The sequence below is a fragment of the Homo sapiens genome, chromosome 19, assembly GCF_000001405.40.
Source record: "Homo sapiens chromosome 19, GRCh38.p14 Primary Assembly".
Taxonomy (NCBI): Eukaryota; Metazoa; Chordata; class Mammalia; order Primates; family Hominidae; genus Homo; species Homo sapiens.
Genome location: NC_000019.10, coordinates 5,316,784 through 5,343,745, shown reverse-complemented (window position 1 = coordinate 5,343,745; position 26,962 = coordinate 5,316,784). Strand labels below are relative to the sequence as shown.

The 26,962-nt window shown below is 54.8% G+C and overlaps 1 protein-coding gene and 1 long non-coding RNA gene across 15 annotated transcripts in view, besides 7 other annotated features; one reads left to right on the top strand and one right to left on the bottom strand.

The window, feature by feature from the left end:
• Positions 2,727 to 3,006: a silencer, noted in NCBI's record as "silent region_9923". NCBI's record gives its function as "represses an Ori minimal core promoter by ATAC-STARR-seq in GM12878 lymphoblastoid cells {active_cell/tissue: GM12878}" and the evidence as "EXISTENCE:reporter gene assay evidence [ECO:0000049][PMID:35858748]".
• The window catches only part of PTPRS (protein tyrosine phosphatase receptor type S), a 135,305-nt gene continuing 111,276 nt past the window's right edge, over positions 2,934 to 26,962 (top strand). For all 13 annotated transcript variants that reach the window (XM_047439166.1, XM_047439164.1, NM_130853.3 and 10 more), the window contains exon 1: positions 2,934 to 3,082. The gene's annotated coding sequence lies outside the window, so the exon portion shown is untranslated. The remainder of the gene's footprint in view (positions 3,083 to 26,962) is intronic.
• Positions 4,873 to 5,546: an enhancer, noted in NCBI's record as "H3K4me1 hESC enhancer chr19:5338211-5338884 (GRCh37/hg19 assembly coordinates)". NCBI's record gives its function as "activates a minimal SCP1, AML or CMV promoter by ChIP-STARR-seq in primed H9 embryonic stem cells {active_cell/tissue: H9 hESC(primed)}" and the evidence as "EXISTENCE:reporter gene assay evidence [ECO:0000049][PMID:30033119]".
• LOC105372252 (uncharacterized) lies at positions 5,680 to 7,251 on the bottom strand. Of its 2 annotated transcripts, XR_936279.3 has the most exons (5): positions 7,183 to 7,251; positions 6,972 to 7,058; positions 6,791 to 6,884; positions 6,407 to 6,498; positions 5,680 to 6,289 (listed from the first exon to the last, which is right to left on the bottom strand). It is a non-coding gene; the product is annotated as an uncharacterized LOC105372252 (long non-coding RNA). The 2 variants fall into 2 exon arrangements; XR_007067105.1 differs by lacking the exon at positions 6,791 to 6,884.
• Positions 13,303 to 13,382: an enhancer, noted in NCBI's record as "active region_13802". NCBI's record gives its function as "activates an Ori minimal core promoter by ATAC-STARR-seq in GM12878 lymphoblastoid cells {active_cell/tissue: GM12878}" and the evidence as "EXISTENCE:reporter gene assay evidence [ECO:0000049][PMID:35858748]".
• Positions 13,483 to 13,592: an enhancer, noted in NCBI's record as "active region_13801". NCBI's record gives its function as "activates an Ori minimal core promoter by ATAC-STARR-seq in GM12878 lymphoblastoid cells {active_cell/tissue: GM12878}" and the evidence as "EXISTENCE:reporter gene assay evidence [ECO:0000049][PMID:35858748]".
• Positions 21,262 to 21,531: an enhancer, noted in NCBI's record as "active region_13800". NCBI's record gives its function as "activates an Ori minimal core promoter by ATAC-STARR-seq in GM12878 lymphoblastoid cells {active_cell/tissue: GM12878}" and the evidence as "EXISTENCE:reporter gene assay evidence [ECO:0000049][PMID:35858748]".
• Positions 23,055 to 23,554: an enhancer, noted in NCBI's record as "H3K4me1 hESC enhancer chr19:5320203-5320702 (GRCh37/hg19 assembly coordinates)". NCBI's record gives its function as "activates a minimal SCP1, AML or CMV promoter by ChIP-STARR-seq in primed H9 embryonic stem cells {active_cell/tissue: H9 hESC(primed)}" and the evidence as "EXISTENCE:reporter gene assay evidence [ECO:0000049][PMID:30033119]".
• Positions 23,555 to 24,056: an enhancer, noted in NCBI's record as "H3K4me1 hESC enhancer chr19:5319701-5320202 (GRCh37/hg19 assembly coordinates)". NCBI's record gives its function as "activates a minimal SCP1, AML or CMV promoter by ChIP-STARR-seq in primed H9 embryonic stem cells {active_cell/tissue: H9 hESC(primed)}" and the evidence as "EXISTENCE:reporter gene assay evidence [ECO:0000049][PMID:30033119]".

Here is a 26,962-nt window from a genome sequence, read left to right as displayed (position 1 = left end):
GGCTTCCCAAAGTGCTGGGATTACAGGCGTGAGCCACCGCACCTGGCCAACGTATTTTTTGTTTGAGAGGGAGTCTCACTCTGTTGCCCAGCTGGAGTGCAGTGGTGTGATCTCAGCTCACTGCAACCTCTGCCTCCCAGGTTCAAGCAATTCTCCTGCCTCAGCCTCATGAGTAGCTGGGACTACAGGCATGCACCATCACACCTGGCTAATTTTTGTATTTTTAGCAGAGACAGGGTTTTGCCATGTTGGCCAGGCTGGTCTCGAACTCCTGACCTCAGGTGATCCACCCGCCCTGGCCTCTCAAAGTGCTGGGATTACTGGCATGAGCCACCGCGCCCAGCTGCTACAATGTATTTTAATTCTGTTTTTGATGTATTTAATCTGTTTTCTTTGACTGCTCACAAAATCCCTCAGAGGTACTAGTGGTTGTCCCCCTTTTCTAGATGGGGACAGCTAGGCTTACAGTGTTGCGGCCACTTGTTTGAGGTCACCTCCCAAACAGGTCACTGGGCTGGGGTTCGTGCCATGATCAGCCCCTCCACGATCAGCCATCTCATTTTACTGTGTCTCCACCAATTCTCCAAGGCTTCAGCACCCACTGTGCGTGAGAAACCACGCTAAGCATTTGTGCACAGACCACCCCATTTGATCCTTCAAGATGGGATCGTGTTCCCATTGCTTGGATGAGAAAACTGAGGCCAGATTGTAAACGGTCAGATCAGGGTCACCCCACCAGGAAGAAAAACAAAGTAGGCTCTGCAAACGTGGCTGCTGCACTGGCCGCTGGGAAACTCCAAGCTTAAATTAGGTTCCTTGTTAAATTATTCATTATCTCCTCTCTTTTCTCCTGTTTATGACTTCCGCCTTATCGTTTTGTTCCCCGGGTTAATGCTTTTTGTTTATCTGCATCTGTGGCCTGGAATGAATGAATCAACAATTTTGGAGGAAAAAAAAAACCAATTCTAAAGTTGAGTTCCTCTGTTGGGCACCAGGCCTTCTCCAAATATGTGCCTTGAGGAAATAAATGCTTTCGACATGATCAAAACACAAGGACTGATGTGCAATCTTGCTTGGTGGCTGTGAGCCCTCCAACCCCCTTACCTTTGTCAATATCCCCCTTTTATTTACTTCCGCTCTGTTTTTTTTCCTTATTTTTGAGAGTCTCACTCTGTCGCCCAGGCTAGAGTGTGCAGTGGTGTGATATTGGTTCACTGCAACCTCCGCCTCCCGGGTTCAAGAGTTTCTCCTGCCTCAGCCTCCCAACTAGCTGAGACTACAGGCACCTGCCACCACGCTCGGCTAATTTTTGTATTTTTAGTAGAGATGGGGTTTCGCCATGTCGGCCAGCCTGGTCTCGAACTCCTGACAAGTGATCTGCCCACCTTGGCTTCCCAAAGTGCTGGGATTACAGGCATGAGTCACCGGGCCCGGCCTCTTTTCTCTTATTATTCCATCTTCAGGCACCAATGGCAGCCAGGCTGCCACATTATAGCAATTCATCATCACACCCTCCTTAGGAGCAGGGGCTACCTTGCCCCATTTTACAGATGAGAGCTGAGATCCAGAGGCAAATCCATTCTACAGATGGGGAAAGTGAGGCTCCGGGCCTCACACAGCAAATCAGTGTTTTAGCTGGGTTCCAACTGTGGCTCGTCCTGACTCCAGGGAAGCAGGGGATGGTAATTAGGTGAGACCTGTGTAAAGTGCTTACTCTATAAGAAGTGCTCCATCATCCATTCATTCATGTGTTCAACCTACAATAGGGATCTCTGGAGCCACACTGTAGTGTAACTAGAATAAAAACGGGATAATGGGACCAGGCGCGGTGGCTCACGCCTGTAATCCCAGCACTTTGGGAGGCCGAGGTGGACGGATCACTGAGGTCAGGAGTTCAAGACCAGCCTGGCCAACATGGTGAAACACTGTCTCTAACAAAAATACAAAAATTAGCCAGGCGTGGTGACAGCACGCCTGTAATTCCAGCTACTCCGGAGGCTGAGACAGGAGAATAGCTTGAATCCAGGAGGCGGAGGTTACAGTGAGCCGCGATCACGCCACTGCATTCCAGCCTGGGCGACAGAGTGAGACTCCGACTCAAAACCAAACAAACAACAACAACAACAACAAACCGGGATAATGGGATAGAGTGGAGTGGGGCGTGGCTGGTAGCTGTTGTCAGGGAGGGCTTCTCCCAGGCGCTGCTTATTTGAGCAGAAATTGGAAAGATGAGAAGGGGAAGTTCTTGGATGCTCAAGTTAGAGGAACTGTAAGAAGCTGGCTGAGGCGGGAGGATCACCCGAGCCCAACTACTCAGGAGGCTGAGGCGGGAGGATCACCTGAGCCCAGGAGTTTGAAGCTGCAGTGAGCTATGATCATACCACTGTACTGAGGCCCAGGTGGCAGACCCCATCTCTGAAAAAGCAAAGAAGGAGCAGCTGGTTTTTCTGGATCATTGACATGGTGGGGGGGAGGGGACAGGGTAGTGGGCGCTAATGTGAAACGGCGAGCTGCAGAGAGGAGGCGGGATTTTATTCCAAGGGTACTGGGGAGCCGTGGCACAGTTTAGGGCAGCGCACAGAAAGTGCCATGCCCTTTGCACCCAGGACGCTGGGGCTCCCGCACGGACAGTAGCCCCAGGGGCCCTTCCCGCCGCCGCCGCAGCCGCCACCACCACCACCACCCCAGCCGCCCACGTGTCCCGCGAAGCCCCGCGCCCCACGTGCTCCCGCGGCCCTTTAAACACCCCGGAGCCACGTGACCGCGCTGCGCCGTCCCATTGGCCGGGGGGCGTGGCGGCCGCGCGGCTGCGCAGTGACGCGCACGGGCCGGCCCTGCCCCCGACCCGGCGGCGGCGGCGGCGGCGCTGGCGGAAGGGATGACGTCACCGGCTGGGGGGGCGCGCGAGCGGGAGCTAGGGGAGCGCGAGCCGCAGTGAGTGTCCTCGCGCCGCCCGCCCGGCAGCCCGGCCGGCGCGCGCACGCCGCGAGCCGCTGGCGCTCGGGCTCCGCTCGGATCCCATGCAACAGCCACGATGTGAAGCGGGGCAGAGCCGGGGGAGCCCAGCCCAGCCAGCCTCCAGGTAAAGCCAAAAAAAAAAATAAAATCATGGATTAGAGGAAAAAAAAATGCAGGCGCTCCAAGGGGGGTCTCGGAGGCAGCCGAGTGGGCAGCGCGCCGGCTTTGTGCCGGGGAAGCCTGCACGGCCATTGTGCTCGGAGGATGCTCGGCTGCAGCCAGTTGCACGCCCAGCCGCTGCGCCCCGGTAGCTGCGCCCGGACAATGCCCCGAGGGACAGGGCCGGGGCCGCGCTGGGGGCGCTCGGCAGGGGGTGCTGGGGGGGCTTCGTCCGCGGCGTGGGAGGGGGCTGGGCTGGAAGCGCCCAGAGCGCGGCATTGGAAGCTGCCCAGCGCCGCCGGCTGCACCACCCCGGGCTGCGGGCGGGGCAGAGGCGCGGAGGGGGGCGCGCGTGTGTGCGGAGCCGGTGCCGGCCCCGGCGGCGCCCGGCCCGGGTCCCCGGGCGGGTCCTGGAGGCAGGGGGCGCTGTGCCGGGGGATGGGGGGCATGCGGGCGCCCCGGAGCGGAGAGGAGCCGGGACGGGTGGCTCCAGGCGGGGTGGCTCCAGGGCTGCTGCGCCCGCCGCCTTCCCTCTCCGGGTCTCCCTCCCCTGGAGACCCCCTAGTCTACGCCGTCTCCCCTGGAACACTCCGGGCCCTGTCGTTGCCTTATGGGAGGTCGCCCCTCCGGCACTCGGGCATTGCCCCACCCTTCTGCGGCCTCGGCGCCCCCTTCCAGCCTCCCCACCCAGGGGCGAGCCTCAGCCCCCAGCCCCAGGGGCTCTGGCAGGCAGACGCGCACGCCCAGCACCCCAGTCTCCCCTCCGCGCTGGGGGCCCCGTGGGGATCCCGAGAGTGGGGAAGCCGCCCCTGGAACCGCCAGCCCCGCGGGTTCCGCACGCCCCGGGAGCCCCCGGGGGCTGCGGGGGGAGGGGAGGTGACGTCATACCGGGGGCGGGGCCGTCGGCACTGGGTTAAAGGGGGCGCGGGGCGTGCCCTGAGGGGAGCCCCCCAGGTTAGAGTGCCCGCGCCGTGGGTGCGAGGGTTCGGCCAGGTTGCGGCCAAGTTCACCTCTCTTTATGGGAATCTCTCCTAAAATTAAGATCCTCCCCTTCGGACCTCCCCCTACAAATCCTGGACATTTCCCACCAATTCCCCCCCTTCCCAAATTGGGGAACTCCCCTTCGGCCGCTTTCTCTCCAGAATCCTCAAATCAGGGAACCTTTCCCACAAACTGGGAATCTTTTTTTCAGCCACACCCCCCGCCCCAAATCTGGGACCTCCTTCTTCGGTTGACCCTCTTTCCCCAGTCTCAAATCGTCTTCTCGTCTCCCTAAATATGCAGCTTCCAAGAACGCCCCTTCCTCTGCAACCCTTCCTCAAATCCAGCCACCTCCTGGGACCTCATTCCCCCAAATTAACAAACCTCCCAGAGCCTCATTGGGGGTGCCTTGCCTCCCCCTTCTGGGCTCAGCTGGGATTCCCCTGTCCCCCCCCGTCACAATCTAGGGGAGCCCCCTTCTGAGCATGGGGTCCTCCTGCCTCTGGCCGAGACCCTAAAAACACATCCCGGCAGCCGCGGCTAGTGAAGCGGGTGTCCGAGGTGTCGGAGTCCCGGCTGAGCAGCAGGGATGATACCTAGAAGCCGGAGGAGGCAGGAAGAGACCCCTAGGGTCCCAAGGACAGGGACCCACACGCTCCGGGCTCCCGTCCGCCACCACCCGGACTTTGGCTGCTGGGATTCTGGCCTCCTCTGGGTGGCCCCCTATCGCTGCTGTCCTTGGGGTGCAGAGGGTGACGGCGCCTCTTTGTCTGGGGCGCCCTTCTTCCCTCTTTCTGCCGCCTTTCGCCCGGGAGAAGGAAGCCATCCCGCTCCTCTGCTCCTGCGATACCAGCGGCAGCTGCTGGAGCGTTTATTAATGGCCCAGGGACTTGGTCGAATCTGCCATTTGCATAAGTCCCCTCCCCCTCCCAGGGTCCCTTCCTTTGTGCCCCCCTCCCCCTGCCAATCGCGCCTGCCTTCTGTCCCTCTGCTCTTCTTTCTTTGCCAGCTGATATTTTGGCGGTGGAAGGCAGGCAGCTGGGGCTGGGGGCGGCTGCTTCCCGCCCTCAAATCCCACAGCCCCCCAGCTTGGGCCTGACTGAGTCCCCACCTGGGCATCCCTCCCCTACCCCCCCGCTGCCCTCCACAAAGCCTTCCGTGGGGCATCTCTTTCTGGCTGGCAGGCTGGCGGAGTCTTCATTATTTCCCTCCGGGAAGCAGGGTCCTGCCCTGTTCCCCAGGCCCGGGGGACACCCTCATCATGACGGTGCACTTCTGCATGGGGGCTAGGCCTCCCAGCCCCCTGGGGGCCACCGCCCGCCATACTCCATCATCCTGAGAGTTGTTCTAATTGGGCTCAGGCAAACAAAACGTCGCAGGAGACCCAGGCTGCCTGGTGAGCTCACGCACTTTTCTATTTCTGCCACCCTGGCCGATGACATTGCCCCTAACCCCCCAGGGGGTGACAGAGACTGGTACTGTCAGTGGCCGTCCAGAGATGCCGTCCCAAGAGGCGGTGGACTGGCCCGCTCCCCACTCCCCGCGGGAGATGGGTGACAGGTCATTTTGGCGTGGCCCGGCTGAGGCGCTGGAGGGTGCTACTGGTTGGCAGGTCAGCTCCGGGGACGATTTCCCCCTCTCCAGGAAACCTTGAGAGCCTCTGAAGTCTGCGTGAGGTGGCGACAGAGAAGGGGACATTCAAACCCCAGGTTCCTGCCTGCTGCCAGCAGAGAAAAAAAAATCACTCCTTATACCCCGGTTGAGCGTTCAGTGCGCCTTTTTTCCCTGCCTCCCAGGGGATTTCAGGCATCGTCCAGTGTCCATGGACCCTGCTTGGAGACACAAGTCCATTTTCCCCCAATTTCCACCATGGAACAGGGGGAAGCTTCGTGGATGCCAGGGATTTCGTGGTAGCATCTGGGTGGGGAGACCTGGAGCCATCACTGTGCACCCATTTTTTTCTTCTTTGGGTCGCATAGAGCCTGGGGCTCTGCCTGGGTTTCCCCAGACCTGGTACCAGTCTGGAGGCAAATCTATCTCTGCTCATCAAACGTCTTTCTGGGAGGTGACTTGGTTTCCCCTTCTGCCTTCGGGGTTGGCGTTGAACAGCGGTTCACAGATGTCTGAGGGCAGCGCACACCTCCACTTGCCAAGATGGGGAGACCTGTGGCTTCGCTGATTATTCCAGCGGCTGCATGGCCCCAATACAATAGTTAGTGGGATGGCCGGAGAGGGACGGGCAGGGACGGTGTGACTTGGTGGTGCGACGTGGCATTTCTACCCGAGCGCCCCGTGGCCCCGCGTTCACCTGCTTTCTGTGACGGTGCAGCCGCCGTGTGCGTGGGGGAAGAAGCGGGGCGTGGAGAGAGTTCGGGATGGGGGCGAGCGGGAGGGAAAACCCTAAAAATAAAAAGGGATATTTATAAACCCAGCGGGTTTGGGGGATAATTGACAAAGCTTAATGTTTTTCGGCTGAGAGCAATTCCTTCCCCCTGCTACCCATTAAGCTCCATTTGCAGAGTCGGTCGGAGCCACGGGAAGATCTTGAGATGAGCTTTAGGTTTGGCGGGCGCAGTGCTGACCGCTGTAGCCCCCTTCTGGGAGGGTCTCGTACTTTCTGGAAGGAGACAGGGGTCCCAGAAAGGGGCACTCCCCAGCTCTCCTCTGCATCCAGGGTAGGCTCCTGGCTCACCTTCCAATGGGTGGGTGTCCTCTTAGAATTTGCAAGGAGGATGAGAACCCTTCTCGGGCAAAGCCTGTGCAGGTTGCCCTTCCTCCGTCCTTCCCTGCGGCAAAAGATGCCCAGGGAGGGGAATTTGAAGAGAGACCCTCCCCCCCACCACCCGCCGCCGCCCCACCCTCCAACCGCTCACCAGGCAGAGTGGCTCAGCCTCCGGTGGGGACAGGAGGAGAGGAGATTAAGACATAACTGCTGTTCCTCGCAGGATTCGTGTGGCAAGCTGATACAAAACAAAACAAAAAAACCAAAAATTCACCATGGATTCACGGACCAAGGCACGTATCCGGGGCTTGAAGGTTTCAAGGGCTTTTTAAACTGTGAATTTTGTCATTTTCACACCTTACCTTGCTCTGGAATCGGAAAGCTGCCAGCTTGTGGCTTGCGGGGCAGAGGAGAGGGGATGCTGGAAGGGGATTGAGGCTCAAATGCATGTCATCTTATCACCAGGTGACATTCTGAATTGAGGAAGGGGGACACGGAGAGAGGAAGTGAAGTGTAGGGGATGTGATCGAGGGAAAGGGTGGCTGTTGTCTCACGCAGAGAGTGGCAGCCCCAAAATGTCTAGGAAACAGGTGACACCTGGGTCTCTCTAACCCTGAGGTTCAAGAGTGTGGAGTGTGTGGTTTCCCCCCCGCCCCCCCCCCTTTTCCTTTAAGGAAAGAAAAGACTCTCAACCAAAAAGGGAAGAAAAAAAAAAACCCGACGTACCATTTCTGTCTTGTCTCTGGCTGATATTTGAGAAGCGCTGGGGAGGGGGTTGTGTGTGGGGAATTTGAAAAATCAATTGGCTTACACTTCTCCAAAGGCGAAAATTAACGGGTAGGAGTGATTCACGGACAGGCCCTCCACTTTCACATCGCTTTATTTTTGTCTCTCTCTTTTTTTTTTTTCCTCCTCCTCCTCCTCCATGGAGCTGCCGGTCCCCCAACATCGTGGCCTGGCCAGACTGGACCTTGGGGCTGGTGCTATTCTGGGCTAGCCGTGGAATCCCCTCTTCTGTTCCCCGGAATCAAGGCACCCTCTGCGCCCCGCAGAGGCCGAGGGGATATTCCACATCTGAAAATAAACCCAGGTTTCTGTGCGGCTTCCTGTTTCCTTCTGATTCCCGCGGATCCCACCCTGGTTGGGGGTTCAGAGCCTGGATTTTTGGATCATGGGGACTCCCTCCTCCGGTCCCCATCGCCGTAACTGGGGCTGGATCACAAATGTCCCGTTTCATGGGGACAGATTTCATCTCGTACTCTTTATGTTATCTGGGTGGCCTTGCTCCTTTTAAGTTGTTTTTGATCTTTGCCATAAGCCCCTTATAGGAAGGGCCAGCTGTCTCCTGTTCCCCCTACCTGGAGAACTGAAAATTCCCCTTTTTCTCCCAGATCTCACCTGCCTGCCTGCCTTCCTTCCTTCCTGGATGACTTCCCCTCTTCCCTTTCAGTTCTCCGTGCAGGAGCTTCCTCACTTACAGAATGAGGTTACCCCTCTGGGTTCCAGGTCAGAGCCCTGACTTGAGCCACCCTCCTCACTTGAGCTGTGCAAACTAGGGCGGGTTGCCTGACCTCTCTGTGTTCTCTCATCTCTAAGATCAGTACAGTCGCAGTCTGCGTCGCGGCGAGCCTTGACATGAGATGCTGTGGGTAAACATGCCTCCCCTGGCTCTCAACGCGTCCGCAGTCAGTCGCATGCATCCTTCCTTCCGCTCCTGGACACCCAGAGGGGTATCCGGCGGGCGGAGAAGCCATGGCTCTGGAAGCCTGGGACCCTCGGATGAGGCAGGCTGTGGGGAGAGAGGCTGGGAGGATGGCCCATCGTCGCGCTGTCACGTGGGTAATTGAGAGTTTGCGGAAATTCAGGGGTTCTGGGGAAGCGAGGTTGGCGCGTCTGTGTGTGTATAATTTAATGCCGCTTATAATTAACCCCCGTGATCAGCAAATGAGGGGATGTCGGGGGGATAATAACAGCTGCTCCGACTATTTAGAGTTGGCGCCCCGTGCCAGGCCCTCTGCTAAGTAAGCAAGTCAGTAGCATCCTTGTCTCCTCCAACCTGCCGTCCCCTGTCAGCGGAGTTGCTGTGATCTGAGCCCTATTTTGCAGAGAGGGAAACTGAGGCACAGGGAGGGGCCTTCACTGGCCTGAGGTCACTTCACACAGCCCACAAGCTGTTGGCTGCCACAACCTGGATTCCTAACGCCTGGAAGGAGCTCTGCCCGATTGTCAGGGATGTTTGTTTGGACAGCAGTCCATCTGCTGCGGGGGCCACCTGAATCGCTACAGAGACACCCCCCGCACACACACACCCCAGGGCTCTTGACTGCCTTTTCTCAGAGGTTAAGAGCAAGGATGCTGGACTGAGGCTGCATGGGGTTCAAATCCCGGCTCTGCCGACTTGTTGGCTGTGTGACCTGGGGCAAGTTGCTCAACCTCTCTGTGCTTCCGTCTTCCTCATCTGTCTATGGAGAAGAGTAACAGTGCCCACCTTGAGGGATTGTTAGGAGGAAGAAATGAGTTAACGTGTGTAAGCACAGATTCAGAACGGCACCTAGAATGTAGCTGCCACCTCTATTCTGTTTTTGTTATTATTTTTGACAACATGGGAGCTACACTGATATGTTGAAGGACCTGCCCAAGAGGGGCTCTCCAGTGTCCACCCGCGCCCCGCTACCCCGCCCTCAGCCCCCCGATGGGGTCCAGCACCAGGGAGATGTCAGGATGACTCAGCCACTGCAAACTGGGGCGTTCCCCTTCACTGGCTGCTTAATCAAGGCCGCCCCACTTCTGCGGCAGGACTGGGCGACTGGCGGGAGCTGAACCACAGGGGGCCTGGATGGTGGACAGGGAGGACACGTGGCTGCCTTGGGAGCTCCAGGCACTCCAGGGACTCCACATGTGGCTCCCAACTTCCAGAGCCCCTGGTGGGCCCGAGTGATCACCAAAGGGGGGAGTTTGGGGGGGATTTGGGGGTTTAACAGCAGTCATTTGATGGGCACTCAGGAAAGTGATCGGTTGACAAGCATGGTGTGCGAGCGAGCATGCATGCATTCATTCGAATATTCACCAGTTCATTAATTCATTCATTCCATCAGGATTGCTGGAAACCTGCTGCTAAGGAACTTGGAAGCCAGAATCTAAGCAGCTGTGGGGCTTGGGCTAGTAATAAAGCTGTTCTGTGCCTCAGTTTCCTGATCTGTAAAATGGGTGCTTTGACATTGCCTCTATCATAAGTGGAGACAGATGAACTGGTGTGGGGGGCACCAAGGACAGAGACTGAGAGTGGCACCTGCTGCTTTGTGGCTGGAGGTGAGGGGGGCGGAAACAAGAAGAGAAGAGTTGACTTTAGCTGGGGAAGACCACACAGGACCCCCCACCCCAAGGAGTTCGAATCGCATTGTGTGTGTGTGTGTGTGTGTGTGACAGGACTCACACTGTTGCTCAGGCTGGAGTGCAGTGATGCCATAATGGCTCACTGCAGTGTCTTAACTCCTGGGCTCAAGCAATCCTCCCACCTCAGCCTCCCAAGTAGCTGGGGACTATAGGCATCCACCAGCACGCCCAGCTGACTTTTGTATTATTATTATTATTATTATTATTATTTATTTATTTTTTTTTTGTAGAGATGGGTTTCACCATATTGCTCAGGCTGGTCTCAAACTCCTGGGTTCAAGCTATCTGCCTGCCTTGGCCTCGGAAAATGCTGGGATTCCAGGTGTGAGCCACCACACCTGGCGAATTGGCATTTTTTATTTATTTTTTATTTTATTTTATTTATTTGAGACAGTCTTGCTCTGTCGCCAGGCTGGAGTGCAACGGCGTGATCTCAGCTCACTGCAATCTCCGCCTCCCGGGTTCAAGTGGTTCTCCTGCCTCAGCCTCCCGAGTAGCTGGGATTACAGGCACCCGCCACCACATCTGGCTAATTTCTGTATTTTTGGTAGAGATGGGGTTTTACCCCATTGGCCAGGCTGGTCTCAAACTCCTGACATCAAGTGATCCGCCTGCCTTGGCCTCCCAAAGTGCCGGGATTACAGGCGTGAGCCACCGCGTCTAACAAATTGCATTTTTTAGATGTGCGGTCAGAGTTCTCTGAAAGCCCCCAGAGCTGGGCTGCCAACATCAGGATCAACAGAAAACCTGGAATGTTGGGAATGCTTCTTGGAACATCTGTCAGGCCAAGGCCCAGAGAGGGAGAGCAACTTGCCCAAGACCACACAGCCATGCCTGCCTGCCTGCTGCTGGGCCTTGCGCAGGAGGATGGACAGGGACCCCTTTCACCAGTCCAAAGGGAGAAACCGAGGCAGGAAGCCATGGCGGGTGTGTGATTCTCAAGCCATAACGCCTGTCAGGGCTGGAGTCTCCACTCCAGCGGGTCGTATGGGCCAAAAAGGCTTCTTCAACCTCCAAGGAAGCCCTGAATGGCTCCAGGGCCAGATCTGTTGGTTTTTCCAAGGAAAAGCAGAAATCTAGATTTTAAGTAAAATTGCCCAATTTTGGCTGGGCATGATGGCTCACGCCTGTAATCCCAGCACTTTGGGAGACCAAGGCAGGCAGATCACCTAAGGTCAGAAGTTTGAGACCAGCCTGGCCAACATGGTGAAACCCCGCCTCTACTAAAAATACAAAAATAATCTGGGCATGGTGGTGCATACCTGTAATCGCAGCTACTTGGGAGGCTGAGACAGGAGAATCGCTTGAACCTGGGAGGCGGAGGTTGCAGTGAGCTGAGATCATGCCACTTGCACTCCAGCCTGGGCGATAGAGTGAGACTCTGTCTAAAAAAAAAAAAAAATTGCCCTATTTTAACATCCTTGGGTTGAAACATCTTAACATGGCACAGTACAGAAATCCAGGGCCACCGTGGACTTTGACCCCTTCCCCAACAATTAAAAGTTGCGTGACTTCTGACACCTCCATTGCCGTCCGCGGGCCTCAGTTTCCAGGCCTGTGAAATGGGTTTAAGACTCCCAGCCACCTCTGCGGTTCTTTAGAGGCACCAGTGTGATAGCTTACAGAGAGTGCTGAGAACAGGGCCTGGGCCAGCGTCCGCGCTCGATAAACGTTGGCTCTGATTATATTAATATTGGTCATAATGATAAACTTGACTTAAATTAAATACTGCGTAGAAGGAAGCCGGCTGTCCCGCGGGGCAGGGCTGCGAATTATCTACTGGCGGCAGGACCTGCTTCTCCATCCCTCGTTCTTTCTGTAGCGCAGTCGTTTGCTCTTGGGGCTGGAGCACCCGGGTTACCAGTATTACTCGTTGAGTGTACTGCTGTGGTTCTCAGCCGGGGTCACTTTTGCTCCCCTGGGCACACTTGGCAACGTCTGGGGACATTTTTGGGTGTCATGTCCAGGGGGGTGCTGCTGGTATGGAGTAGGTGGAAGCCAGAGATGCTGCTCAACTCTGTGTAATGGCCAGGATGACCCCATCCCAGATAATGACCCCACCCTCATGTACACTGTGCTGAGGTTTAGAAACCCTGATTTTGCCAGGCATGGTGGCTCACGTCCATAATCCCAACACTTTGGGAGGTTAAAGCGGGAGGATTGCTTGAGCCTAGGAGTTCAAGATCAGACTGGGCAACACAGTGAGACCTCATCTCTACAAAAAACAAAAAAAAATCAGCCGAGGGTTGGGGTGCACACGTACGGTCCCAGCTACTGGGGAGGCTGAGGTGGGAGGATTGCTTGAGCCTAAGAGTTTGAGGCTGCAGTGAGCTATGATTGCATCACTCCACTCCAGCCTGGGCAACAGAGCAAGGCCTTCTCTTTTTTTTTTTTTTTTTTTTTTAAAAAAAGAAGCCCTGACTTATGCTGAAGACCCAAGACAGCGAGAGAAATCAGGCAGATGGTGCCTTTGTCCCTGAGCGTCCACCCAACACGCTCCCTGACGTCTCGCGGGGCCAGAACGCTTAGATTGCTAATGGGTTCCCTCTGCACATCTGTCCTGGTTCCACTGCCCCATTGATTATTGGAAGTGGGTAATTGCCCCTGTCGGATGAATTCTAGAGAGTGTGAACTGCCGGGGTTTCCGGCAACAGTGCTGGCTTCAACTCCCAGATATCAGCAGGGTGCAGAGAGGCTGCCAGGTCCCAGGACTTTTTCTCTTGGCCCCATCTGGCCCTGGGAGCCCAGACTCCGGCCCTGCTGGGGAAGGGCATTAGGGGTCTGAACGCCCCAGGTTCGGATCCTGACAAAGACCCTCCCTGGCTGTGTGAGATGACCTCATTATTTCCTTCCCCTGAGCCTCAGTTTTCTCATCTGTGAAATGGGGACGAGTCTTGCCTGCTGCATCACTGGGAATTCAGTGGTGTCACATTGATAACGGGGCCAGGAGCCCAAGGTGCACAGGAGGAGCTGGATGAGTCTACCCTCTCTCCCCACAGCTTCGTGAACCGTTAGGGGTGATGAGGTTGGAACCTCAAACCCACATTCTCCAAACAGCTGCAACAGAGGAGAACTAACCCAAGCGGGCGGAAAGTCCCCCGTGGTGGGGGCCGCTAATGCTCCGCCACCAGTACCAGTGTGCCTGGCCCTGTGTTTTCTCATTTCCTCCTCAGAACTGCCCTGAGAGGTGGCAGGTGTCCCCTTGTCTTGCGGATGGGGAAACTGAGGCACAAAGGAAGGGTGAGAACTGGGAATGACAAGCCCTTTCTCAGGTTTACAGAGGCGTTGTTTCTGGACAGGATGTCGTTTCTACACTCCTGGAGGCTGCACCCAGGCCCAGCTTCACGGGGGCCCTGCAGTCACTCGGGGGCCCACGATCAGAAGGGGCTGCATTTAGATGGATGCTCTGTTGATGCCGTCTGGAAATTCTTAATAATTTTTTTTTTTTTTTTTTTTGAGACAGAGTCTTGCTCTGTCACCCAGGCTGGAGTGCAATGGCGTGATCTCGGCTCACGGCAACTTCCACCTCCTGGGGTCAAGAGATTCTGCCTCAGCCTTCCAGGTAGCTGGGATTATAGGCATGTGCCACCATGCTCGGCGGCTAGTTTTTGTATTTTTGGTAGAGACAGAGTTTCAGCATGTTGGCCAGACTGGTGTTGAACTCCTGAGATCAGGTGATCCACACACCTCGGCCTCTCAAAGTGCTGGGATCCCAGGCGTGAGCCACCATGCCCGACCTGGAAATTCTTAATTTTTTTTTTTTTTTAGGAGATGGAGTGTTGCTCTGTTGCCCAGGCTGGAGTGCAGTGGCATGATCTCAGCTCACTGCCAGCTCCACCTCCCGGGTTCACGCCATTCTCCTGCCTCAGCTTCCCCAATAGCTGGGACTACAGGCGCCCACTATTACACCCGGCTAATTTTTTGTATTTTTAGTAGAGACAGAGTTTCACTGTGTTAGCCAGGATGGTCTTGATCTCCTGACCTCGTGATCTGCCCGCCTCAGCCTCCCAAAGTGCTAGGATTCCAGGCGTGAGCCACTGTGCCCGGCCTTAATAATTTTTAAACAAGGAAAACCCCACGGTTTCATTTTGCACTGGGGGCTGCAATTCTGTAGCTGGATTGTTAGCTACGATGTAGCCAGAGGCCACTTCCCACAGTGGCTGGGAGCAAAGATGTTATCGGCCAGGATGTGTTTTTGCCCCTTACGAGCTGTGTGACTTCGGGGAAGTCACTTTCCCTCTCTGGATGGCACCCTCAGACTCCTCTCTGTGGGCCGCTGGCCTCATCTCTCCTCCTCTTCCCCTCCCCTTTGTCCGTTCCACTCCATGTAGACCTATCCTTCTCCTGTTTCCACCTCCAGGCCTTTGTCCTTGCTCTGCCGGGAGCTCTGTTTCTGGCCAGGCCACCCCTACCCCGCCATTGCCTCCCGCACCCCGTTTTGTTTTCCCTCACGATATCGCTCTGTCTGCAACCCCTTTAGGACCTAAGCTCCGCCACACCTCACCCGCCCCTCCAGATCAGCCCGTCTGGCTCCTGGGAGCTACCGCCTGGCCTGCGTGTACCAGCATTGCCACGTCTAATGACCTTGATCAGGCAGGTAATGATGGGGAAAGCCCTGCCTCGGCAGCTCACAGCAAGAGCCCCCTGGTCCTGCTCTGAGAGTACTCGGAGTGGGTGATGTTGCAGGGAGAGGCAGCCACAGTGACCTCAACCTCCTGAGTAGCTGGGATTACTGGCACGCACCACCATGGCTGGCTGTATTTTTAGTAGAGACTGGGTTTCACCATGTTGGCCAGGCTGGTCTTGAACTCCTGTCCTCAGGTGATCCACCTGTCTCAGCCTCCCAAAGTGCTGGGATTAAAGCTCAGCTCACTCTGCCCTTGGGCAGGGAGGCCAGGAGACTGGGTTCCCAGCGGAAATGCTGTGTGCTCTCAGCTACTTGCTCACCCTCTCTGAGCTGATGAATATCCGTAGTGTCTGGCAAGAAGTGGTAAGGGCCGGGCGCGGTGGTTCACGCCTATAATCCCAACACTTTGGGAGGCTGAGGCAGGTGGATCACCTGAGGTCAGGAGTTCGAGACCAGCCTGAGCAACATGGTGAAACCCCTTTTCTACTAAAAATACAGCCAGCTGTGGTGGTGCACGCCTGTAATCCCAGCGCTTTGGGAGGCCGAGACTGGTGGATCACCTGAGGTCAGGAGTTTGAGACCAACCTGGCCAACATGGTGAAACCCAGTCTCTACTAAAAATACAGCTGGCCGTGGTGGTGTGTGCCAGTAATCCCAGCTACTCAGGAGGTTAAGTCAGGAGAATCGCTTGAACCCGGGAGGCAGAGGTTGCAGTGAGCCAAGATTGTGCCATTGCACTCCAGCCTGGGCAATAGAGTGAGACTCTGTCTCAAAACAAAAACAAAAAAAAACAAAAGAAGTGGTAAGGAATGGCTTTGAGGGTGATGTCTCTGAGTAATTGGCTTCAAGCCAGGGGTCTGAGGACCAGTGTCAGGAGGTCAGGGAACTCTAAAACAGTCTGTGAGATTTCTTGTCTCCTGAGGAGAAGGTGAGAGGCCCAAAGGGTCTGGGGACCCCCAGAAAGTGTACAGTGGTTGGGCCAGATGATTTTAAGAGTCAACCAGTACCCGGGCATGGTGACTCATGGCTGTAATCCCAATACTTTGGGAGGCTGAGATGGGAGGATTGCTTGAGGCTAGGAGATCGAGTCCAACCTGGGCAACATAGGAAGACCCCATCTCTATAAAAAGTAAAAAAATTAGCCGGGTGTGGTGGTGTGCACCTGTAATCCCAGCTACTCAGGAGGCTGAGGTGGGAGGATTGCTTGAGCCCAGGAGTTTGAGGCTGCAGTGAGCTATGATCATGCCCCATTGCACTCTGGGTAACAGAGCGAGACCCTGTCTCTAAAAACAAAAAGAACTGAGCCAGGCCTGATGGATGTTGGGCACCCTGTGTGTCTGGCCAGACAGGTGGAGAAGTTACTGAGGAGCTCACCAGGAATGGGCCAGGGGATCTTTGGGGGATCGGGTTTAGCATTTGAATGGTGCAAGTTTGAATCATGTCTGAGCTGCTTGTTCAGTGTGACCCTGGGGCAGTGGTTTCACCCTCCAGGGCCTCAGTTTTCTCGTCTGCAAAATGGGGGTGAGGCTGTCTCTTGGGTAGAAGGGTCTTGGTATTGGAAGGATCTATGCTAAACACGCTTGGAGTAAGCCCCAAACTGGCTAAGATATCATAAAATACAGCTTGATGATCAGTGCCCTCTGGAAGCAAGGTCGCAGGACCTGCATATGGGGCTTGGGGGCGCTGGGGAGTCGCTGTGTCCGGGGTATTGAGTTGCGCTTGGAGTGTGCCCACTGCAGTGCGGAGAGCAGATTGGCGGGCACCTACGGCAAGCCCTGCGCAGACCGAGTCGCAGGGCAGGCTGCCACGCTGGCAGGAGCTGGGCTGGGAGTGCGAGCGGGGCTACCCTTGGACCACCTCAGCCTCAGTGGGGAAACTGAGTCACGTCAATGTGGACAGAACCCTCAGCAGGTGTGGAGGGTCAGTTGTGACTCTCTAGGTCTGTGCCGAGGTCACTCTGCAGGGTCTTTGGACTCTATATCTGGTGTTTTGCTGCCCCATCGCCTAAGGACTAGCTAGCTTGCTTGCTTCATTCCTTCTTTCCTTCCTTCCTTCCTTTTTCTTTCTTTCTCTCTTGTTCTTTCTTTACTTCTATCCTCCCTCCCTCCCTCCCTCCTTCCTTCCTTCTCTTCCCTTCTTTCTCCTTCCTTCTCCCTCATTTTCTCTTTCTCTTCTCTTCCTTTCTTTTCTTCGTTTCTTTTTTTTTTCTTTCTTTTTCTTTTGACAGCATCTCACTCTGTCACCCAGGCTGGAGTGCAGTGGCACGATCATAGCTCACTGCAGCCCCAAGCTCCTGGGCTCAGGCGATCCTCCCGCCTCAGCCTCGCAAAGCGCTGGGATTACAGGCACGAGCCACCGTGCCCAGCCAGTACTTGACACGTTTTGTTTAAACCCATTCTCTTTTAAAACGTAAAAGAGAAAACTTTGTCTTGCTCTTGTGAACGGAAACCTGGTATGTCCTTGAAGGTACAACCTTAAAAATAAATGTGGTGAGAGCAAAACAAGGGCATTAAATTCTTGCTGCTTTTGCCTCTGTCTGTTCCAGGCTGAAAGCTGAAGCCTGAGCACCCCTGAGGTGTTTAAGACATCCTAGCACCCACCTGAGGCTTTTAGCCTTAAGCCCAGCACAGAATGACCCCCTTGCTGGTTGAGTCAGTATTTTGTTTTGTTTTCTTGAGATGGAGTCTCACTCTGTCGCCCAGGCTGGAGTGCAATGGCCCGATCTCGGCTCACTGCAACCCCCACCTCCCGGGTTCAAGCGATTCTCCTGCCTCAGCCTCCCGAGATGCTGGGATTACAGGCGTGTGTCACCACATACGGCTAATTTTTGTATTTTTGGTAGTGACAGCGTTTCACCATGTTGGCCAGGCTGGTTTCGAACTCCTGACCTCAAGTGATCTGCCTGCCCCAGCCTCCCCAGGTGCTGGGATTACAGGCATGAGCCACCATGCCTGTCCCAGTGTTATTGAATGTGACTACAACTGTTTGGGGCATCTCCTGGACTTTCTGGGAGGCTGAGCCCCTTCTGCCTTCGGCCTGAATTTCTTGAACTGAGCGTTGCTTCCCCATGGCCTGGGGAGAAGGTGATTTCTTCCTGAATTCAATTAATGAGCCTATTAAAAACTATTTATTTTCCCTGACAGTTGTTTACTGAGGAGAAGGAGATGAATTGGCCGGTGTCCTCGGCAGGCAGGAAGGAGGCTGAATGGGGGTGCTTGGTGGCTCAGCCCCAGTGCTTGGGGAGCACAGATTGCCGGTGGGGGCCTGTCCTTGGGGACGCCTTGGGCAGAGCCTGTGCTTGGGTCGTGGCCACTGCTTCTGACCTTGGAGTCTTTTGGGAGGTGGATGTTGGAATGAGTGAAACCGTCGTGGTGTGGAGGCAGGGGGCCGGCCCCGATGACGTCTCTCTTCTCTTTCCAGGTTAAAATGTCTCAGATGCGCTGGTTTGAGACCCAAGACCTGGCCCCATGGCCCACATGAGATATTGTGGCGGGATCTCCCAATATCCCATCATATCCCCCGACTCCGTAGCAGTTGAACTTTACAATTTTTATCTGGGCACATGGCCACCTGGGGGAAAGAAAACATTTCTCAGTGCACCTTGCAGCTGTCTGTGCCATATGATTCAATGCTGACCCATGGCGTAAATAAGCAGGATTTTCTGGAAATGCCTTTCAAGAGAAGTGGCACATGCTCCTCTCTACCTGTCAGCTGGAATATGGAGATGATGGCAGGTGCTCAGGCAGCCATTTTGGACCATGAGGCAGGTGTCATAGATAAGAATGGGGGATCAAAGAGGTGGAAGGGGCCTGGGCCCCAGTGATTGTCGGGGAGGGGAAAATAACCCTGAATGGCCAACCTGGCAGCTTCCCTTAGGTGAAAAGAGAAATCATTCCTTATTTGTGCTTTTTCTGGCATTTGCAATTCAACTGGATCCAAACGGTGGCAGAACATGAACCTTGGGACACCTTCTGGGGATGTGGCTCTCCTGGGGATGTGGCTCTTCTTGCCCCTGTGCTCCAGAGACCCCAGACTCGAAGTTTTGCAAACAGTGTGAGGATGGGGATGATGGTGAACGACCAAGCATGATGGGTGCTGACACGGATCCCACCTCTAGCTGAGTGCCTCGTGGTCCTGTTGAATCTGCACAGCCCTGTGAGAAGCCTGCAACCACTGCCCCACTTTCGCAGATAAGGAAACCGAGGCTCAGAGAGGGGATGTGACTTGTGCAGGGTCACACAGCAAGTAGAGTTGAGTTAGGATTGGGCTGACCCCACGCTTTGTGGCAGGGCTGCATCCTGACACACCTGGGGGCCTCCCCCCTTTAACCCATGGGTCACTACCTCCTTCTCCTCTCCTCCTCCATTGCAACCATCAGATCTGGCCCTGGTCTGATCAGCTGCCGCCAGCCTGGGACAGGCCAATAGGGACATGAGAGTGAAAACTGTGTCCCCTTCCATACACAAAATGCTCCCAGGCACAGGGGTCACTGTCTTCTCCTGGGTCCTGCCAGGGGAAGCGGGTTTCAGGTTCAGAGTACAGAGCCTAAGACCCTAAAAATAATACAAGCCAATGTATGCTGAGCACTTGCTGTGTGCCGGACTGTGCGCTGAGTACTGTACACAGGCCAGCTTGCTTTCCCTTTTTTTCTTTCTTTTTTTTTTTTTTTTTTTTTTTTTGAGGCAGGGTTTCGCTCTGTCTCCCAGGCTGGAGTGCAGTGGCATAATCTTGGCTCACCACAGCCTCTGTCTCAGGTTCAAGCGATTCTCCTGCCTCAGCCTCCCGAGTAGCTGGAATGACAGGCACGTGCCACCATGCTGGCTGATTTTTGTATTTTTTGTAGAGATGGGGTTTCACCATGTTGGCCAGGCTGGTTTTGAACTTCTGAGCTTAAGCATTCCACCCACCTTGGCCTCCCAAAGTGCTGGTATTACAGGCATGAGCCACTGCACGTGGCCTTCATTTTTTCATTTTTGTTCTATCCTCTGCCTCCACCTGGTCCAGCTCCCATCATCACCTGGACCAACACGGTCACCTCTGCTCTGGTGTGACCCCAGCCCTCATTCCCACAGTCTGTCTTCCCACAATGACATCTTTCAGTTCTTGAGTCAGGTCCCATCCCTCCTCTGCCTATAGCCCTCTATGGCTCTCACCTCTTGGGGGAAAACCCCAAGTCCTCCCTGTAGCCCACCAGGCCTTGCACAACCTGCTCCATCCCTTCCCTGCCGTCCCCTCCTTCCTCTCTCCCCGTCCTCACTCTGTTCCAGCCACACGGGCCTCCTCGCTGTTCCTCCAATACACCAGGCATGGTCCCGCCCCAGGGCCTTTGCACAGTCTGTGCCCTCTGCCTGGAATGCTTTTCCCCAAACAGCAACCTCCCTGACTTCCTTCACGTCTCAGGTCACTTTTAAATGAGGCCTCCCCGATCACCCTATTTAAACTTGCAGCCTGCCCCACCACCTAGTTTCCTGTCTTCCCCCTTCTGCTCTCTTTGACTCAAAGCCCTTGCCACCATTTCTCTGTTGAATGCTTTTTTGTTTGTTTTTTTGAGACGGAGTTTCACTCTGTCACCCAGGCGGGAGTGCAGTGGTGTGATCTTGGTTCATGCAACCTCTGCCTCCCGGATTGAAGCAATTCTCCTGCCTCAGCCTCCTGAGTAGCTGGGATTACAGGCATGTGCCACCATGCCCAGCTAATTTTTCTGTATTTTTAGTAGAAATGGGGTTTTGCCATGTTGGTCAGGCTGGTCTCAAACTCCTGACCTCAAATGATCTGCCCTCCTCGGCCTCCCAAAGTGCCAGGATTAGAGGCGTGAGCCACCTCTCCCAGCCTCGAATGCTTCATACTCATTATCTGCTTCTCTCCTCCTCTACCATGTCCATGGCAGCATCTGCACACAGTAGGGCTCCAGGCATACATTTTGCCTAAGCAGCTCTTCCCAGGGGAAGAAATGAGGCTCTGAAATGCATGAGGTCTGTTTTTTCTTTTTCTTCTTCTTCTTCTTCTTTTTTTTTTTTTTTTTTTTTGAGACGGAGTTTTGCTCTTGTTGCCCAGGCTTGAGTGCAATGGTACGATCTTGGCTCACTGCAACCTCCACCTCCCGGGTTCAAGCGATTCTCCTGCCTCAGCCTCTCGAATAGCTGGGATTATAGGCGTGCGCCACCATGCCCGGCTAATTTTGTATTTTTAGTAGAGGCAGGGTTTCACCATGTTGGTCAGGCTGGTCTCGAACTCCCTGCCTCAGGTGATCCGCCCGCCTCAGCCTCCTAAAGTGCTGGGATGACAGGCATGAGCACCGCGCCCGGCCGCCTGAGGTCTTTCTGCGGGCTGGAGGCAGTGCTTGCGGGGAGCAGGTGGCTTCCACGTTCTTGCTTTTAACCACCCCCAACCCGGGAGTCGGCCAGTCGGGGCGGGCTCGAGTCGGTCCCCGCGGCTGCTTCTTCCTCCCACCCCCGCATTCTCACCTCAGCCTCCAGAAATAGCCCCTTTAAAATAGCCACGTCCTCGAGTTCCGGGGCCTCTGCCTGCCCACGGACGTGGTGCTGCGCTGACGGGCCAGCCTCCTGAGTGCTGTGGGGTTTTTAAAAATATAGCTGGTGTTAGGTGATATTACCTCCCTTTTAAGCCTGAAAAAGCCCAGCCACCAACAGGGCTGTGTGTCACTGTGGATACTCCAGCAAGGCACGGCCGCGAGGGTGTCTGCTGTGCAGAGCTGGGGAGGGCTTCCGCTAAAGGCTCACGCCAGCTCAGGCGGGGACCGTGGGGCCTGCAGTTCCCTGTCAGGTCAGGAAACCTCAGATTTGAGGCTCAGTGCTGCCTCTTGCCGGCTGTGTGACCTCTGGCAACTGTTGAAACCTCTCTGAGCCTCAGTTTACCCAAATGGAAATGGGGACAATTTCAGGGTTTGGATAAATGGTTAAATTTCTCTGAGCCTCAGTTTATTTGTGAAATGGGGACATCTCAGGGTTTGGGCAAATAGCTGAACTCAGCCTCAGCTTACCTATGTGGAAATGAAGACAGTTTTGGGGCTTGGATAAATGGTTCTATTTCTCCAAGCCTCGGTTTACCTGTTTGTAAAATGAGGACATCTCAGGGCTTGGGCAAATAGCTGAACTTCCCAGCCTCAGTTTACCCATCTGGAAATGGAGACAATTTTGGCGCTTGGATAAATGGTTCTTTCTCTGAGCCTCAGTTTACCTGTTTGTAAAATGGGGACATCTCAGGGCTTGGGCAAATAGCTGAACTTCTCAGTCTCAGTTTACCTGTCTGGAAATGAGACATCTGAGGCTTCTCCACTCTGGGCCTGGCACACAGTGGGTACTCACGAGGCACGAGCCAAACTCCTTACAGCACTGAGGCCTCTACAAAATGACCCTGTAGTCGATCTGGGTCAGGGTTTAGTGAATTTAGCATTAGCTCTGAGCCTGCCACTTCTAGGCGGTAGATCCTTCAGGAAATCGCTTCCCCCTTGAGGGACTCAGTTTTCCTCATCCCTAAAATGGGCCCATGTCACTGGGTCGGGAGACATCAGGGAGATGAAGCATAGCTGCCCTTTTCCCCAGGTCGGAATGCTCCGTAGACGTGACTCACATTTCCCTGTTACCTTGATTTATTCTTTTTATTTTTCTTTGTTGAGACAGGGTCTTGCTCTGTTGCCCAGGCTGGAGTACAGTGGCATGATCATAGCTCACTGCAGCCTCAACCTCCCAGGCTCAGTTGACCCTCCTGCCTCAGCCCCCTGAGCAGCTGGGACTATAGGTGCACACCACCATGCCTGGCTAATTTTTTTGTTGTTGTTTAATTTTTTGTAGAGACAAGGTCTTGTTATGTTGTCCAGGCTGGTCTCGAACTCCTGGGCTGAAGTGGTCCTCCTGCCTCAGCCTCCCACAGTGCTGGGATTACAGGCATGAGCCAGCACCGGGCCCTTGTTTTATTCTTCTCATTCGTTGAGACTGTGTTGATTAGTGGCCAAAACCAGATTCTAGGGCCAGATGGCTCTGTCCCTTAGTAGCAATGACTCCACCTCTCTGGGCCTCAGTTTCCTCATCTGGAAAATGAGGATAATGATAACCTCAACCATCCAGGCTCCCTTGGGAGGATCTAGTGAGTTCATAGGGTGAAGCCCTCAAATCAGGGCTGGGCTCAGCATGAGGACAGTGTGACGATTGTAAAGAAATCCAGGCCGGACGTGGTGGCTCACGCCTGTAATCCCAGCACTTTGGGAGGCTGAGGTGAGCAGATCGCCTGAGGTCAGGAGTTCAAGACCAGCCTGATCAACATGGCGAAACCCCATCTTTACTAAAAAGATACAAAAATGAGAGCCCAGCATGGTGGCGTGCACCTGTAATCCCAGCTACTTGGGAGGCTGAGGCAGGAGAATCGTTTGAGGCAGAGTTTGCAGTGAGCCAAGATCACACCACTGCACTCCAGCCTGGGGGACAGAGCGAACTCCGTCTCAATTAAAAAAGAAAAAATCCATTTATTTGCTAGATGTTTATCAGGCTTGTCCCTACACTGGCCACTTCCCGGGAGCCGGATAAGCCAAGTGGATGGTGCTTGTGTCAGCCTGTGTGTTTGGCTTCAAGGTCCGTGTACCCCCTCTCCCACTGGGGCAGGGATTAAACCTGCCGGAGGGACCTGTCCAGCCAAGGCCACGGGCACTGGCTGCCGCCCCTGCTTCCTGCTGTGTCACAACAGGTGTTGAGCCGCCGGATGGCAGAGGGCAGGGGCCTGGCTTGCCAACAGGGACAGGAAGGCCCCGGCTGGAGTAGGCGTGGAGGCTTCCGCCGTCAGCCTCCGGGGTCTCAGCGGCTGCTTTGGCCGCAGCCACTGCCTCCGATTTTGCGCTTTCCATCATCTGGGGGGATTTCTCAGATGCCTCCTGTCCACCAGGCTCTGTGCCGGGACCCTGAAGCAATAAAGGGGATGGCTTTGTGGATCAGGGAGAGAGATGATAGGCAAAATACGATATATAGCACGTCAGGGGTGATCAGAGAAAGCAGTAAAGGAACAAAGGGGACTCGGGAGGGAGGCATGAGGGTTGTCATTTTTAATGGGGCTGTAGGGACGGCTTCATTGAGGAGGTGATGTTTGAGCAAAGCCCTGATGGAGGTGAGGAGGAACCAAGCAGATAACGTGGGGGAAGAGCATTCCAGGCAGACGGCACAGCGTGTGCCAAGGCCCCGGGGCAGGACCACGCCTGGCGTGTTGGAGGAACAGCGAGGAGGCCTGTGTGGCTGGAGCCCAGTGAGTGATGGGGAGGGGAGAGGAGGCAATAGGTCATGTAGGGTCTTGTGGGCTGCAGGGAGAACCCTGGGCTTTGAGCCCTAGAGAGGTGGGAGCTATGGAGGGCTGTGGGCAGAGGAGGGACAGGACCTGACTCAGATACTCATGGTTGATGCCAGGGATGGACCAGGTGAAGGCAAAGGTGGGTGGTGGGGAGAAGAAGCAAGTGGATTTGGGATAGCTTTTTAAAAAAAAAAAAAAAAAAAAGACAAGGTCTGGCTCTGTCGTCCAGGCTGGACTGCAGTGGTGCAGTGCAATCTTAGCTCACTGCAACCTCCACCTCCTGGGCTCAAGTGATCCTTCTACCTCAGCCTCCCAAGTAGCTGGAACTACAGGCGCACACCACCACGCATGGCTAATTTTTTAATTTTTAGTAGTGATGGGTTTTGCCATGTTGGTCAGGCTGGTCTCGAGCTCCTGACCTCGGGTGATCTGCCCACCTTGGCTTCCCAAAGTGCTGGGATCCCAGATGTGAGCCACTGCGCCCGGCCTTGGGATGGCTTTTGAAGGTAGAGTATCCCTCCTTTTTTTCTTTCCATGTCTGGGGTTAGTGGCCAGGCTGAGCTGATGCTTTCTCTTCGATCCTTCCATTAGAAGTTTCCAGAACTCAGAATTTCAGGGACAAATATGGAGGGGAGGGCAGGCCAGGCCCTTGCCCTCCAGGGACTCACTGTCTGTTAAATGGAGAATACAAACAGATCAAGAGATTGCAGTGTGGGCCTCTCACTTAGCAATTCAAGGGGAATAGGGTGCTAGACACCCTGACAGCCTAGGCCAGGAAAAACTTTTTTAAAAATAACATCAGCTGGGCCCAATGGCTCATGCCTGTAATCCCAGCACTTTGGGAGGTTGAGACGGGAGGATCACTTGAGCCCAGGAGTTTGAGGCTGCAGTGAGCTGTGATCTCACCATTGTACTCCAGTCTGGGTGACAGAGCGAGACCCTGTCTTTCAAAATAAAAACAAATAATAACAACCACCACCAAGATAATATCTGCAGTCTATCAGCTGCTTCTCAGGTGGTGTGAACAGCTCTGTGTGCCTTTCGATTCAGTCTTCACAGCAGCCATGTGAGGGGAGGAAGAGACTTTTATACCCATTTTACAGATGAGGAAACTGAGGCCTAGAGAGTCGAGTCACCTGCCCAGGGTCACACAGCATGGCCAGACTGCCTTGCTGTTGGACCTAGCTGGGGTGCAGCCTGTTCTGTCCTGTCCTCATTCCGTCTCGCAGCATTTCACGGTCATCATTCCATCATTTCTTCTTCTTCTTTTTTTTTTTTTTGAGACAGTCTCACCTTGTTGCCCAGGCTGGAATGCAGTGGCACAATCTTGCTCACTGCAACCTCCGCCTCCTGGGTTCAAGCGATTTTCCTGCCTCAGCCTCTAGAGTAGCTGGGACTACAGGCAAGCGCCACCACACTTGGCTAATTTTCATTTTTTTTTTTTTTGGAGACGGAGTCTCGCTCTGTTGCCTAGGCTGGAGTGCAGTGGCGTGATCTCGGCTCACTGCAACCTCCACCTCCTAGGTTCACGTCACTCTCCTGCCTCAGCCTCCTGAGTAGCTGGGACTACAGGCACCTGCCACCATGCCCAGCTAATTTTTTGTATTTTTAGTAGAGACGGGGTTTCACCGTGTGAAGCAGGATGGTCTCGATCTCCTGACCTCATGGTCCGCCCGCCTCGGCATCCCAACGTGCTGGGATTGCAGGCGTGAGCCACTGCGCCTGGCCTAATTTTCATATTTTTAATGGAGACGGGGTTTCACCATGTTGGCCAGGGTGGTCCCGAACTCCTGAGTGCAGGTGATCCACCTGTCTCAGCCTCAGTGCTGGGATTACAGGCATGAACCACTGCACCTGGCCCCTTACTAATTTCTAGGTGGGCCACACACCCCACCCTCTTACTTTAAAGATCTATGTGAGTTTGGGTTCTCTTATTTGAGATGTTTGCTTGGGCCCTGCCCTGCCCTGTCCTATTTTAGGAAAATTTGTGCTGTCAGTAGCCACCTGGACCAGTGGAAAATCTAGGATTCTGTTAGTCCTGGATTCAAATCCTGCCGTCACCTCTTTCCTAGCTGTGTGATTTTGCGGCCATTGCCCAACCTCTCTGATTGCTCATTTCCTGTGCAATGTTTTGTGTTTTTTGTTTTTGAGACAGTCTTGCTCTGTCTCCCAGTCTGGGGTGCAGTGGCACAATCTCGACTCACTGCAACCTCCACCTCCCAGGTTCAAGTGATTCTCCTGCCTCAGCCTCCCGAGTAGTTGGGATTACAGGCGCGTGCCACCACGCCTGGCTAATTTTTGTATTTTTACTAGAGATGGGGTTTCCCCATGTTGGCCGGGCTGGTCTCGAACTCTTGACCTCAAGTAATCCACCCACCTCTCCCTCCCAAAGTGCCGAGATTATAGGCATGAGCCACTGCGCCTGGCCAGGCTCAGCTATTTATTTGTTTACCCAAGTAATATTTTCTCAGTGCCTGCTATGCATGAGGCATTGTTTTGGGTAGAGTGGTTCTTCCTAATGTCCCGCCATGGCCACTCCAGCCCTCAAAGTGTGAGTTGACAAACCCTGATGTTTGGGCCATGGGAGGGTGAGCAGGAGCCCCAGCTATAGTTGGTATCCTTCGTGGATCCCTCAGAACAGACGTCTCAGCGTGGCTAGGAGGAAAATCCCGGGGCAGTGGGGCAGCCGCCCGTGGGAGAAGCCAGGTCCCCGGTGCCTGGGAGTGCAAGCAACAGTGCTATGTGTGCAGAACCCCAAATCACAGCCGGGTGCCAGAACCCCAAATCACAGCCGGGTGTGGTGGCTCATGCCTGTAATCCCAGCACTTTGGGAG